This window comes from Homo sapiens, chromosome 16 (assembly GCF_000001405.40).
Source record: "Homo sapiens chromosome 16, GRCh38.p14 Primary Assembly".
Classification (NCBI taxonomy): domain Eukaryota; kingdom Metazoa; phylum Chordata; class Mammalia; order Primates; family Hominidae; genus Homo; species Homo sapiens.
In genome coordinates this window covers 47,428,717-47,441,875 of record NC_000016.10, presented here as the reverse complement: position 1 = coordinate 47,441,875, position 13,159 = coordinate 47,428,717, and the positions used below count along the sequence as shown (strand labels likewise).

The window sequence follows — 13,159 nt, the reverse complement described above, 5'->3', positions numbered from 1 at the left end:
TTTTCCTAATTGAATTCCCTTTATTTCCTTCTCCTGCCTGATTGCCCTGGCCAGAACTTCCAACACTATGTTGAATAGGAGTGGTGAGAGAGGGCATCCCTGTCTTGTGCCAGTTTTCAAAGGGAATGCTTCCAGTTTTTGTCCATTCAGTATGATATTGGCTGTGGGTTTGTCATAGATAGCTCTTATTATTTTGAGATATGTCCCATCAATACCTAATTTATTGAGAGTTTTTAGCATGAAGGGTTGTTGAATTTTATCAAAGGCCTTTTCTGCATCTATTGAGATAACCATGTGGTTTTTGTCTTTGGTTCTGTTTATATGCTGGATTGCGTGTATTTATTTTCGTATGTTGAACCAGCCTTGCATCCCAGGGATGAAGCCCACGTGATCATGGTGGATAAGCTTTTTGATGTGTTGTTGGATTCGGTTTGCCAGTATTTTATTGAGGATTTGTGCATCAATGTTCATCAAGGATATTGGTCTAAAATTCTCTTTTTTTGTAGTGTCTCTGCCAGGCTTTGGTATCAGGTTGATGCTGGCCTCATAAAATGAGTTAGGGAGGATTCCCTCTTTTTCTATTGATTGGAATAGTTTCAGAAGGAATGTTACCAGCTCCTCCTTGTACCTCTGGTAGAATTTGGCTGTGAATCCATCTGGTCCTGGACTTTTTTTGGTTGGTAAGCTGTTAATTATTGCCTCAATTTCAGAGCCTGTTATTGGTCTACTCAGAGATTCAACTTCTTCCTGGTTTAGTCTTGGGAGGGTGTATGTGTCGAGGAATTTATCCATTTCTTCTAGATTTTCTAGTTTATTTGCGTAGAGGTGTTTATAGTATTCTCTGATGGTAGTTTGTACCATCGGTGGTGATATCCCCTTTGTCATTTTTTATTGCGTCTATTTGATTCTTCTCTCTTTTCTTCTTTATTAGTCTTGCTAGCGGTCTATCAGTTTTGTTGATCTTTTCGAAAAACCAGCTCCTGGATTCATTGATTTTTTGAAGGGTTTTTTGTGTCTCTGTCTCCTTCAGTTCTGCTCTGATCTTAGTTATTTCTTGCCTTCTGCTAGCTTTTGAATGTGTTTGCTCTTGCTTCTCTAGTTCTTTTAATTGTGATATTAGGGTGTCAATTTTAGATCTTTCCTTCTTTCTCTTGTGGGCATTTAGTGCTATAAATTTCCCTCTACACACGGCTTTGAATGTGTCCCAGAGATTCTGGTATGTTGTGTCTTTGTTCTCGTTGGTTTCGAAGAACATCTTTATTTCTGCTTTCATTTCGTTATGTACCCAGTAGTCATTCAGGAGCAGGTTGTTCATTTTCTATGTAGTTGAGCGGTTTTGAGTGAGTTTCTTAATCCTGAGTTCTAGTTTGATTGCAATGTGGTCTGAGAGACAGTTTGTTATAATGTCTGTTCTTTTACATTTGATGAGAAGTGCTTTACTTCCACGTATGTGGTCAATTTTGGAATATGTGTGGTGTGATGCTGAAAAGAATGTATATTCTGTTGATTTGGGGTGGAGAGTTCTGTAGATGTCTATTAGGTCCGCTTGGTGCAGAGCTGAGTTCAGTTCCTGGATATCCTTGTTTACTTTCTGTTTCGTTGATCTGTCTAATGTTTACAGTGAGGTGTTAAAGTCTCCCATTATTATTGTGTGGGAGTCTAAGTCTCTTTGTAGGTCACTAAGGACTTGCTTTATGAATCTGGGTGCTCCTGTATTGGGTGCATATATATTTAGGATAGTTAGCTCTTCTTGTTGAATTGATCCCTTTACCATTATGTAATGGCCTTCTTTGTCTCTTTTGATCTTTGTTGGTTTAAAGTCTGTTTTATCAGAGACTAGGATTGCAACCCCTGCCTTTTTTTGTTTTCCATTTGCTTTGTAGATCTTCCTCCATCCCTTTATTTTGAGCCTATGTGTGTCTCTGCACGTGAGATGAGTTTCCTGAATACAGCAAACTGATGGGTCTTGAATCTTTATCCAATTTGCCAGTCCGTGCCTTTTAATTGGAGCATTGAGCCCATTTACATTTAAGGTTAGTATTGTTATGTGTGAATTTTATCCTGTCATTATGATGTTAGCTGGTTATTTTGCTCGTTAGTTGATGCAGTTTCTTCCTAACCTTCATGGTCTTTACAGTTTGGCTTGTTTTTGCAGTGGCTGATACCGGTTGTTCCTTTCCATGTTTAGTGCTTCCTTCAGGAGCTCTTTTAGGGCAGGCCTGGTGGTGACAAAATCTCTCAGCATTTGCTTGTCTGTAAAGTATTTTATTTCTCCTTCACTTATGAAGCTTAGTTTTGCTGGATTTGAAAATCTGGGTTGAAAATTCTTTTCTTTAAGAATGTTGAATATTGGCCCCCACTCTCTTCTGGCTTGTAGAGTTTCTGCCGAGAGATCAGCTGTTAGTCTGATGGCCTTCCCTTTGTGGGTTACCCGACCTTTCTCTCTGGCTGTCCTTAACATTTTTTCTTTCATTTCAACTTTGGTGAATCTGACAATTATGTGTCTTGGAGTTGCTGTTCTCGAGGAGTATCTTTGTGGTGTTCTCTGTATTTCCTGAATTTCAGTGTTGGCCTGCCTTGCTAGATCGGGGAAGTTCTCCTGGATAATATCCTGCAGGGTGTTTTCCAACTTGGTTCCATTCTCCCCATCACTTTCAAGTACACCAGTTAGACGTAGATTTGATCTTTTCACATAGTCCCATATTTCTTGGAGGCTTTGCTCGTTTCTTTCTATTCTTTTTTCTCTAAACTTCTATTCACGCTTCATTTCATTCATTTCGTCTTCCATCGCTCATACCCTTTCTTCCAGTTCATCGCATCGGTTACTGAGGCTTGTGCATTCGTCACGTAGTTCTCGTGCCGTGGTTTTCAGCTCTGTCAGGTCCTTTAAGGGCTTCTCTGCATTGTTTATTCTAGTTATCCATTCGTCTAATTTTTTTTCAAAGTTTTGAGCTTCTTTGCCATTGGTTCAAACTTCCTCATTTAGCTCGGAGTAGTTTGATCTTCTGAAGCCTTCCTCTCTCAACTCGTCAAAGTCATTCTCCATCCAGCTTTGTTCCATTGCTGATGAGGAGCTGCATTCCTTTGGAGGAGGAGAGGTGCTCTGATTTTTAGAGTTTCTAGTTTTTCTGTTCTGTTTTATCCACATCTTTGTGGTTTTATCTACCTTTGGTCTTTGATGATGGTGACGTATAGATGAGTTTTTTGTGTGGATGTCCATTCTGTTTGTTAGTTTCCCTTCTAACAGTCAGGACCCTCATCTGCAGGTCTGTTGGAATTTACTAGAGGTCCACTCCAGACCCTGTTTGCCTGGGTATCAGCAGCAGTGGCTGCAGAACAGCGAATATTGGTGAGCCGCAAATGCTGCTGCCTGATCATTCCTCTGAAGTTTTGTCTCAGAGGAGTACCCGGCCATGTGAGGTATCAGTCCACCCCTACTGGGGGGTGCCTCCCAGTTAGGCTACTCAGGAGTCAGGGACCCACTTGAGGAGGCAGTCTGCCTGTTCTCAGATCTCAAGCTGCATGCCTGGAGAACCACTACTCTCTTCAAAGCTGTCAGACAGAGATATTTAAGTCTGCAGAGGTTATTGCTGTCTTTTGTTTGTCTGTGCCCTGCCCCCAGCGGTGGAGCCTACAGAGGCAGGCAGGCAGGCCTCCTTGAGCTGTGGTGGCCTCCACCCAGTTTGAGCTTCCAGGACGCTTTGTTTACCTACTCAAGCCTGAGCAATGGCAGGCGCCCCTACCCCAGCCTCGCTGTGGCCTTACCGTTTGATCTCAGACTGCTGTGCTAGCAGTGAGTGAGGCTTTGTGGGCATAGGACCCTCCGAGCCAGGTGCAGGATGTAATCTCCTGGTGTGCGGTTTGTTAAGCCCGTTGGAAAAGCACAGTATTAGGGTGGGAGTGACCCGTTTTTCCAGGTGCCATCTGTCACCCCTTTCTTTGACTAGGAAAGGGAATTCCCTGACCCCTTGCGCTTCCCAGGTGAGGCGATGCCTCGCCCTGCTTTTGCTCACACACGGTGCGCTGCACCCACTGTCCGGCATTCCCCAGTGAGATGTACCCGGTACCTCAGTTGGAAATGCAGAAATCACCCGTCTTCTACGTCACTCACAGTGGGAGCTGTAGGCTGGAGCCGTTCCTATTTGGCCATCTTGGCTCCAACCCCAACTCCTTACATTTTATTATGGAACATTTCAAACATGTAGAAAGATAGCTGAATGAGACAGTGAGTATGCTTCTAATAGAATGTACCTGTCACCCAGCTTCAGCAGTTACCAGCTCATACCCAGTTATTTTTTCATCCACAACTTTTCTTCCATTTTCCTTTTTTTACACCTTGGACATTTTGAATCTATAAATATTTCAACATATATCCTTAAGAGATAAGGCTTTTTTTTTTTTTTTTCAGGAGATGGACTCTCACTCTGTCACCCAGGCCGAAGTGCAGTGGTACGATCATAGCTCACTGCAGCTTTGAGCTCCTGGCCGCAAGCAGTCCTCCTGCCTCAGCCTCCTGAGTAGCCGGGACTATGGATGCATGCCACCATGCCTGACTAACTTTTTAAAATTGTTGTTGGAGATAGGATCTCACTATATTGCTCAGGCTGGTCTTGAACCCCTAGGCTCAAGTAATCCTCCCACCTCAGCCTCCTGAGTAGCTGGAATTACAGGTGCCAGCCACTGTGTCCACCTAAAGATTTGTTTTCAAAAATACATAATCACAACATGTTCATCACACCTAAAAAACTAAGAATAGTTTCTTAATATTACATTTCCAGGAATATTTTGATCAAAATATATTAAAGCATAAAAAAAGTAGAAATATTTTATTAAACCGTATATTATTGGCAAAGATACAATAAAAAGATTTCTCAAACCCTTTATTAGCCTACTTTTACTTGATTAAATGAGGTGCCTCTAAATGAAGAGTAATTGGTATAGCTAATAGTTATTTTTTTAGTGGTGCTTATAGTTATTTGATAAACGTTTGTAATGCCTTTGGTTTACTTCTCAAAAATTGAGAAGCAAATGGGTCTAATGAATTGATTATGCATCCTTTTACAACTCAGGGGCTTTCCAGCTGCTTACTTTGAACAGCTTAAAGGAAGAAGACCTAATGGATAGAGCACTGAAAGTTATTTTTGTTGATAAGTAACTGTGATTTTTTTATATTTGACTACAGAGGGGTTCAAAAAACTGAGAATCCTTGCTGTAATAAACCTTTTTTCATTCTAATCTGCCTTTTCACATGAGCAAGATTTCTTAGCATTTACATCTATGAAAATGAAAAGTAAGAGTAGACTGTATGCCTGGATACTGTCTCATTCTAGCAAGAATGCATATTATTTTAAGGATAAATAAACTAATATATTTTAAAGCTTTGTTCATCACTCTTAAAAATGCGTTTCCAATAAAATTTTACCTTTGGCTTAATTATCAAACTAATAAAATGTATTTTCATCAATTGTTTGCTGACAGTTTAAATAATTCAACTTCAAAGGGAGTTTTTTTAAACGCTGAGATCCATGAGCAAAACCAATTAAATGCAAACTTTATTTTTTTTAGCTGATTTGTTTTTAATTTTATTATTATTATACTTTAAGTTTTAGGGTACATGTGCACAACGTGCAGGTTTGTTACATATGTATACAAACTTTATTTTATATGATAGTTCATAGATGAATTTTTTGTTTGGAGAATTATCCCAGAACCATCACTAAAAAGAATCCACATATAAAATCATTTTACATCATGATAAAGTTTTCTGAGAAAAATGGAATGGAAGTACAAGTTCAAGGATAAAAGGGAAAGATGTACAATTTCTGAATATTCAAGTAGACCTTTATGTGTTTTTTTTGTTTTGTTTTGGAATTCTTTTGTGGATGATGGGGGATGGATGACAATTCAATTATATTTATATTCCACTGTATGCATTTTTAAAGTAATCATTTTATTTTAAAATTTTAATAATTATAATAGATTCAAATATTACCTATTTTGCAGCTATTTGTGCTGATGAAAACGTTTAGATTGTTTTCTTAGAAATTATTTAATGTGTTAGCTGGTATATAGTTTTTCAGCATTCAAAATTCTTTCGAAGCATATCTGGGCAAAGATGTTTGAAGACCGCAGGACTAAAGAACTAGGCAGCCTGGAGAAGTAGATTCTTCTTCATGCCAGAACCATCTCCTAGTAACTGCTTTTACCTGGATAACTTAAATAATGATAATTCAATATAAGCTGATCATTCAAAAGTGGGTGGATTAGCAGTCATATGAAGAACAGTTACCACAGGCAACCAAAAGCTACAGCTGACATTAATTACATTTAAATTCATTCTTTGACAAATTCATTCTTTGAGATTAAGGGTGATGATGCCCACAAATTAGAAAACTTTGATATAATTTTGTTTCTTGTGCGGGAAAAGCTAGTAATTGGAATTTTCTACAGAGGTCAAGAAATGTCAATGATACACTCAGTGTGGCTTAGAATGACCCACTTTTTCCTCTGTTTCTCTTTTTTTGTAATCAGAGCAGTTTTTATGTGTGACCTTAGCCTTCAAATGGAGTTGGGCACATATATGAAAATATTATACTTTATGTGAGTTCAGTTGCTTGAAAAATATGGTATCTGCTTTTTATTGCTGAAAAACTATAATTTGTACAAAGAGCAACTTTTTTTCTTTAGCTTTTAAGTTCAGGGATACATGTGCAGGATGTGCATGTTTGTTACACAGGTAAATGTGTACCATGGTGGTTTGTTGCATGGATCATCTCATCACCTAGGTATTAAGCTCGGCATCCCTTACCTATTCTTCCCTGATGCTCTCCCTCCAAGCCTCTGCCTCTCAAAAGCCCCAGTTTGTGCTGTTCCCCGCACCCTATGTGTCCATGTGTTCTCATCATTCAGCTCCGACTTATAAGTGAGAACATGTAATGTTTGGTTTTCTGTTCCTGTGTCAGTTTGCTGAGGATAATGGCTTCCAGCTACATTCATGTCCCTGCAGAGGACATGATCTCATTCTTTTTATGGCTGCATCATATTCCATATTCCATGGTGTATACATGTACCACATTTTCTTTATCCTGTCTATCATTGACAAGGGTTTAGGTTGATTCCATGTCGTTGCTATCGTGCATAGTGCTGCAAGGAACATATGTGTGCTTTGTGTGTATACCCAGTAATGGGATTGGTAGATCAAATGGTATTTCTGCCTCTCGGTCTTTGAGGAATCACCACACTGTCTTCTACAATGATTGAACTAACTTACACTCCCACCAACAGTGTAAAAGTGTTCCTTTTTCTCCACAACCTTGCCAGAATCTGTTGCTTTTTGACTTTTTATTAATCACCATTCTGACAGGCATGAGATGGTATCTCATTGTGGTTTTGATTTGCATTTCTCTAATGATCAGTGATGTTGAGCTTTTTTTTCGTGTTTTTTGGCCACAGGAATGTCATCTTTTGAGAAGTATCTGTTCACATTCTTTGCCCACTTTTGAATGGTTTTTTTTTTTTCTTGTAAATTTGTTTAAGTTCTATAGACTGGATATTAGAACTTTGTCAGATGGATAGATTGCAAACATTTTATCCCATTCTGTAGGCTGTCAGTTCACCCTGATGATAGTTTCTTTCGCTGTGCAGAAACTCTTTAGTTTAATTAGATCCCTTTGTCAATTTTTACTTTTCTTGTAATGCTGTTGGCATTTTCATCATGAAATATTTGCCTATGCCTGTGTCCTGAGTGGTATTGCCTAGATTTTCTTCTAGGATTTTTATAGTTTAGGTTTTATATTTTAAGTCTTTAATCCATCTTGAGTTAATTTTTGTATGTGGTGTAAGGAAGGGGTCTACTTTCCATTTTCTGAATATGGCTAGCCAGTTCCAAAGAGCAACTTCAACGGTAGAAGGATTAATGAATATTACTTTCAACTATAAACCTATTAACACTTTAGTTCTTATTGACAACTATATATATATATATATATATATATATATATATATATATATATATATATTCAGTTTTTATTTATTCACTTTAGTTCTTATTGACAACTATACGTGTGTGTATGTGTGTGTGTGTATATATATATATATATATATATTCAGTTTTTATTCATCTTAAAATGCACCACAAAAAGAAACAACTGTTCTTTCATTTTCTGTACACCTTTGGTAAACATCAGAACAGTAAATAGACACCGTATAAAATAAACTCTTAAGGATCAGCTGCTGCCTTTTAAGAGGTGTAACTGTAAAATAGCAAAACATAGGCAATAAGTATAAAACTTAAAATACTGTGAAGAACTTAAGTGTTGATTTTAAATGTTCAAAATGGCAAGATTGCAATTAATATATTGTTAGGAGTGGCAAATTCATATTTGTTAGGCGCCAGGAAGGAAACCAGAGTGAGTGAAGCAATTTGGGAAAATTAACACTTGGGTTGTCTTTAGACGCTAGCTCTGTCTGAACAAAGCCAGTTGGTTGCCAGACCTTCTGATATTTCTGATATTTCCAGAGAAGCTGAAAATCCAGACTTGTATATGAAATCAGATTTTCTTTTTAAGTTATAGCAATGAATTCAAGATTCTTAAAGGAGTATATGGGCCCAATAAAACACATCTTTATGCTCAATTTGGCTGATGGTCTGTCCCTTTATGACTTCTGATTTATCACTTTTCTAGAGTCTTCCTTTGAAATAAACATTTGGTTTAATAGCTCCTAGGAAAAAATGTCACAAGGTAGTTGAGTTTTTCCAAAATTCTAGCCATAATTTATTTCAGAGTTAGCCTACTAAAAAATTTGTAGGGAATGAGATCAGTAACTGCTCAGGTTAGAGACAGAGCCACGTGATCAACCTCATTGAGCTTTACTCTATAAAAGTCTGTGTTTTTAATCATTCTTGGCCTATAACATGAATTTGATGGCAAAATTAGGAAAGTTTTCTGAAATTACTTTGGGTTAAACTTGTCAGAGAATCTTTAACCCAAGTCTGATTATTTTGTTAGTAATTTAAAATACTTTAATGCTTAGAAATTATTGAACTGATGAATAAATGGTCTATCTTAAAAATAAGTTAATCAGTCATTATTAAATTGGATATAAGTGAAACTATTTTAAAGATTTCTAACCTTGTATATGGTGAAAGAATAATCAAATCAGTTGCTTGGCGTGAATTACCTTACAACATATGCTAAATGCAATTTCTCAATTCATTTTAATATTTTCTTATTACCATGACTTTATATTATAGAGTTCAGATTAAAATAATGAAATTAGTCTGTATGAATACTGCTTGGTTTTGATTTTACTGTCTTATTTAGGTTAAAGTGTGTTTAGGCCCTGCTTGTGCTAAAATATGTGTAGAAGGCTATTGGAAAGAGGTTGCTGTTTGTAGAACACATTTTGTGTAGAGAAAATTTTCTCCTGATGAATGCTTATTCTTTTTCCCAGATTCCACCTGCCAAGAACAAATTAGTCCATTGTGTCTTGCTGATTTCCAAAGACATCAATACCAAATTCACAATTATAAACCTTGTTTGCTATCCAGTCAGTTGAATACTGCGTTGACAATTAAGTTGGACTTAAATAGCCTTAAATTGCTCTATGGAGATGACATATCTGTGGTTTCATATTGGACTGGAACATATTACTATGAAAACGGTAGTGACTTCTAACTGCAGTAGAGAAGAATAGGAAATGCTGCTTGAGACTGAGGTTCAGTCTAGCCGGCATTCACTGACATTTCATGGGAGCCAGGTCCTGGTTAGGCATTGTGGCTACAGATATTGATGAGTCAAGGTTTCTGGGGAAGCTTTACAGCATCAAAGAGAAAGTTCCTAAAGTAACTTTAATGCAAACCAAAATGCTGTTAGGAAGGAAAAGTGTGGCAGGAAAACAGAGAAGAGAGAAGATCTTTTGGAGAAAGCTGATTTGAGTAGAGCCTTGGTAAATGGGGGAATTCTCACCTAGTGAGAAATTATAGGGGAATGACTTTATTTAAACTTGCTCTTTCTTCTATAGTTGATAGAAGTACTACCAGTGTTACCTTCTGGTTTTGATATTTATACTGTGGTTGTATAAGATGTTAATATTAATGGAAACTGAATGAGAGATAAATGGAAACTTTGTGCTATGGGCTTTCCTTAGTAAGATAAAATTCACATAACATAAAACTTTAAATTTATCATAGAATCCCTAGGTGTATAATTGATAAAGTGTACAATTTAGTATCATTTAGTACATTTACAATTTTGCACAACCATCAGCTCTATCTGGATCCCACACCATTTTATAACTGCAAAGGGAACCCTGTACCCACTAAGCCAGCAGTCCCCAACCTTTTTGGCAACAGGGACCGGTGTCATGGAACTCAGTTTTTCCATGGACAGGGTCAGAGGCCAGGTGGTGGGGGTGGTTTCGGGATAAAATTGTTCCACCTCAGATCATCAGGCATTAGATTCTCATAAGGAGCACACAACCTAGATCCCTTGAATGTGCATTTCACAATAGGGTTCGCAGTCCTTTGAGAATCCAATGCCACCACTGATCTGACAGGCGACGGAGCTCATGAGGTGATGCTCACTTGCCTGCCGCCCACCTCCTGCTGTGTGGCCCAGTTCCTAAAAAGCCATGGACCTGTAGTGGTCCACAGCCCAAGGGTTAGGGAACCCTGCATTAAGCAATCACTCCCTTTTGTCTCTCAGCACCTGACAACCACAAATCTGCTTTCTGTCTCTATAGATTTAACTATTATGAATATTTCACATAAATGGAATTCTCCAGTACGTAACCTTTTGTTTCTGCCTTTTTTCACATAGTATGTTTTTAAGGATCATCCATTTTGTACTAGTCTGTATTGTATTAGTAATTTAGTCATTTTTATGGCTTAATAATAGTCCATTGTATAGATATATGACATTTTGTTTATCCATTTATCCACTGATGGGAATTCGTGTTATTTCCACTTGTGGGCTATTGTGAATAGCACTACTAGGAGCATTCATTTTTCAAGTATTTGTTTGTTTACTTATTTTTAATTATCTTGGATATATAGCTAAGCGTAGAAATGCAGGATCATATGGTAATTCTGTGTTTAACTTTTTGAAGAACTGCCAAACTGTTTTCCAGAGATCCTTTTAGTTCTTTCATCCATTCTGAGTTAAATTTTGTATGTAGTGTGAAGTAGGGACTTCAATTTATTCTTCTGCATGGTCCAAAACTTTAGAATTAATATTTGTAAAAGAGAATCATTATTATTTTCCACAATATTAGAAAACCTTGTATGACATTAATCATTTATTTTCTGATTCATTTAAAAAAGATTAAAGATAATAAATATGACTGCTAAAACTATAAAACTCTTAGAAGAAAACAGGCAAATTTTCATGGCCTTGCATTAGGAAATGGATTCTTTGATATGGTACCAAAAGAACAAAAAAGAAATGAAAAATTGATATATTGGACTTAATCAAAATTAAAAACTTGTACTATCAAGAAAGTGAAAAGATGTCCGGGCATGGTGGCTCACGCCTGTAATCCCAACACTTTGGGAGGCCGAGGCGGGTGAACTGCCTGAGCTCCAGAGTTCAAGACCAGTCTGGCCAACATGGTGAAACCCTGTCTCCACTAAAAAAAAAAAATACAAAAAATTACCCAAACATGGTGGTACATGCCTATAATCCTAGCTACTTGGGTGGCTAAGGCAGGAGAATCGCTTGAACCCTGGAGGCGGAAGTTGCAGTGAGCGGAAATCGCACCACTGCACTACAACCTGGGTGACAGAGCGAGACTCTGATTCAAAAAAAAAAAAAAAAAAGAAAAGTAAAAAGACAACCCACAGCCTAGGAGACAAGTCATATACTAGATAAAGGCCTAATGCCCAGATTATATAAAGAACTCTTAAAACGCACCAACAGGGACTGAGGGTAATGGTCTTATAATCCCAGCCCTTTGAGAGGCCAAGGAAGGAAGATCCCTTTAAGCCAGGAGTTCAAGACTAGCCTGGGCAAAAAGGTAAGACCCGTGTATCTAAAAATAAATGGATGGATGGATGAATGGATGGATCGATGGATGGATAGCAGTAAAGCAATACATAACATACATAACACAATTTAAGAATGGAAAAATAATTTGAGTAGACATTTCTCCAGAGAATGTATACGGATGGCCAGTAACCACAGCAAACATGTTCAGCATCATTAGCTATCAGGAAAATACAAATCAAACCACAGTGAAATACTGTATCACACCCTCTAGGATAGCTGTAATAAAATAAATGGACAAGAATAAGACAGGATTTGGAGATACTGGAATTCTCCTACATTGCTGGGTACAAATGTAAGATGGTGAAGTGGAAAACAGTTCAACAATTCCTCAAAAAGTTAAACATATATTCCTCTATGACCCAACAATTCCACTCCTAGGTATATACCAAAAAGAATTAAAGACATATGTCCACATAAAAACTTGTACATGAATGTTTGTAGCAGCCAAAAAGTGGAAACAAGCCAGATCTTCAGATGAATGGATAAGCAAAATGTAAACCCATACAATGGAATATTATTCCGCTATAGAAAGAACTGAGGCACTGATACATGTTTCAACATGGATGAACTTGAAAACATTATTCTAACTGAATGAAGCCAAACACAGAAGACCACATAGTGTATGATTTTATTTATGTGAAATGTCCTGAATAGAGACAGAATGCAGATTTGTGGTTGCCAATAAGGGGAAATAGAGTACACAATTTCTTTTTTGGTGTGATGAAAATGCTTTGGAGTTATATAGTAGTGACGATTGTACACTGTGAACATACTAAAAACCACTCACTGCACTTTAAGAGAATGAATTGTATGTTGAATATATCAATGAAAATAAATAAATTTAAGTGTTTTGCATGCAGAGATTTTTATTTTAAAATAATGCTCATTTGATGTTTGCCTTAAGAAAAGTATTTTTATTTTATTTTTTAGGAATTTATCATGGCATCCAGCATTGACCACTACAAGTAAAATGCGAATTCCACATTCTCATGCATTTATTGATCTGACTGAAGATTTTACAGCAGGTGAGTTGCACATAAATCTGGAATTGTTTTGAGTTACCAAAGAAGTATGGGATTTTATTTACTGTACACTTTGTATTTAATTGCTAA

General features: G+C 37.2%; 1 protein-coding gene across 2 annotated transcripts in view; it reads left to right on the top strand.

The window, feature by feature from the left end:
* Positions 1-13,159, top strand: part of ITFG1 (integrin alpha FG-GAP repeat containing 1) — a 306,856-nt gene that overhangs the window by 19,371 nt on the left and 274,326 nt on the right. For both annotated transcript variants that reach the window (NM_001305002.2, NM_030790.5), the window contains exon 6: positions 12,978-13,072. In NM_001305002.2, the coding sequence (NP_001291931.1) occupies positions 12,978-13,072 (95 nt within the window). The remainder of the gene's footprint in view (positions 1-12,977; positions 13,073-13,159) is intronic.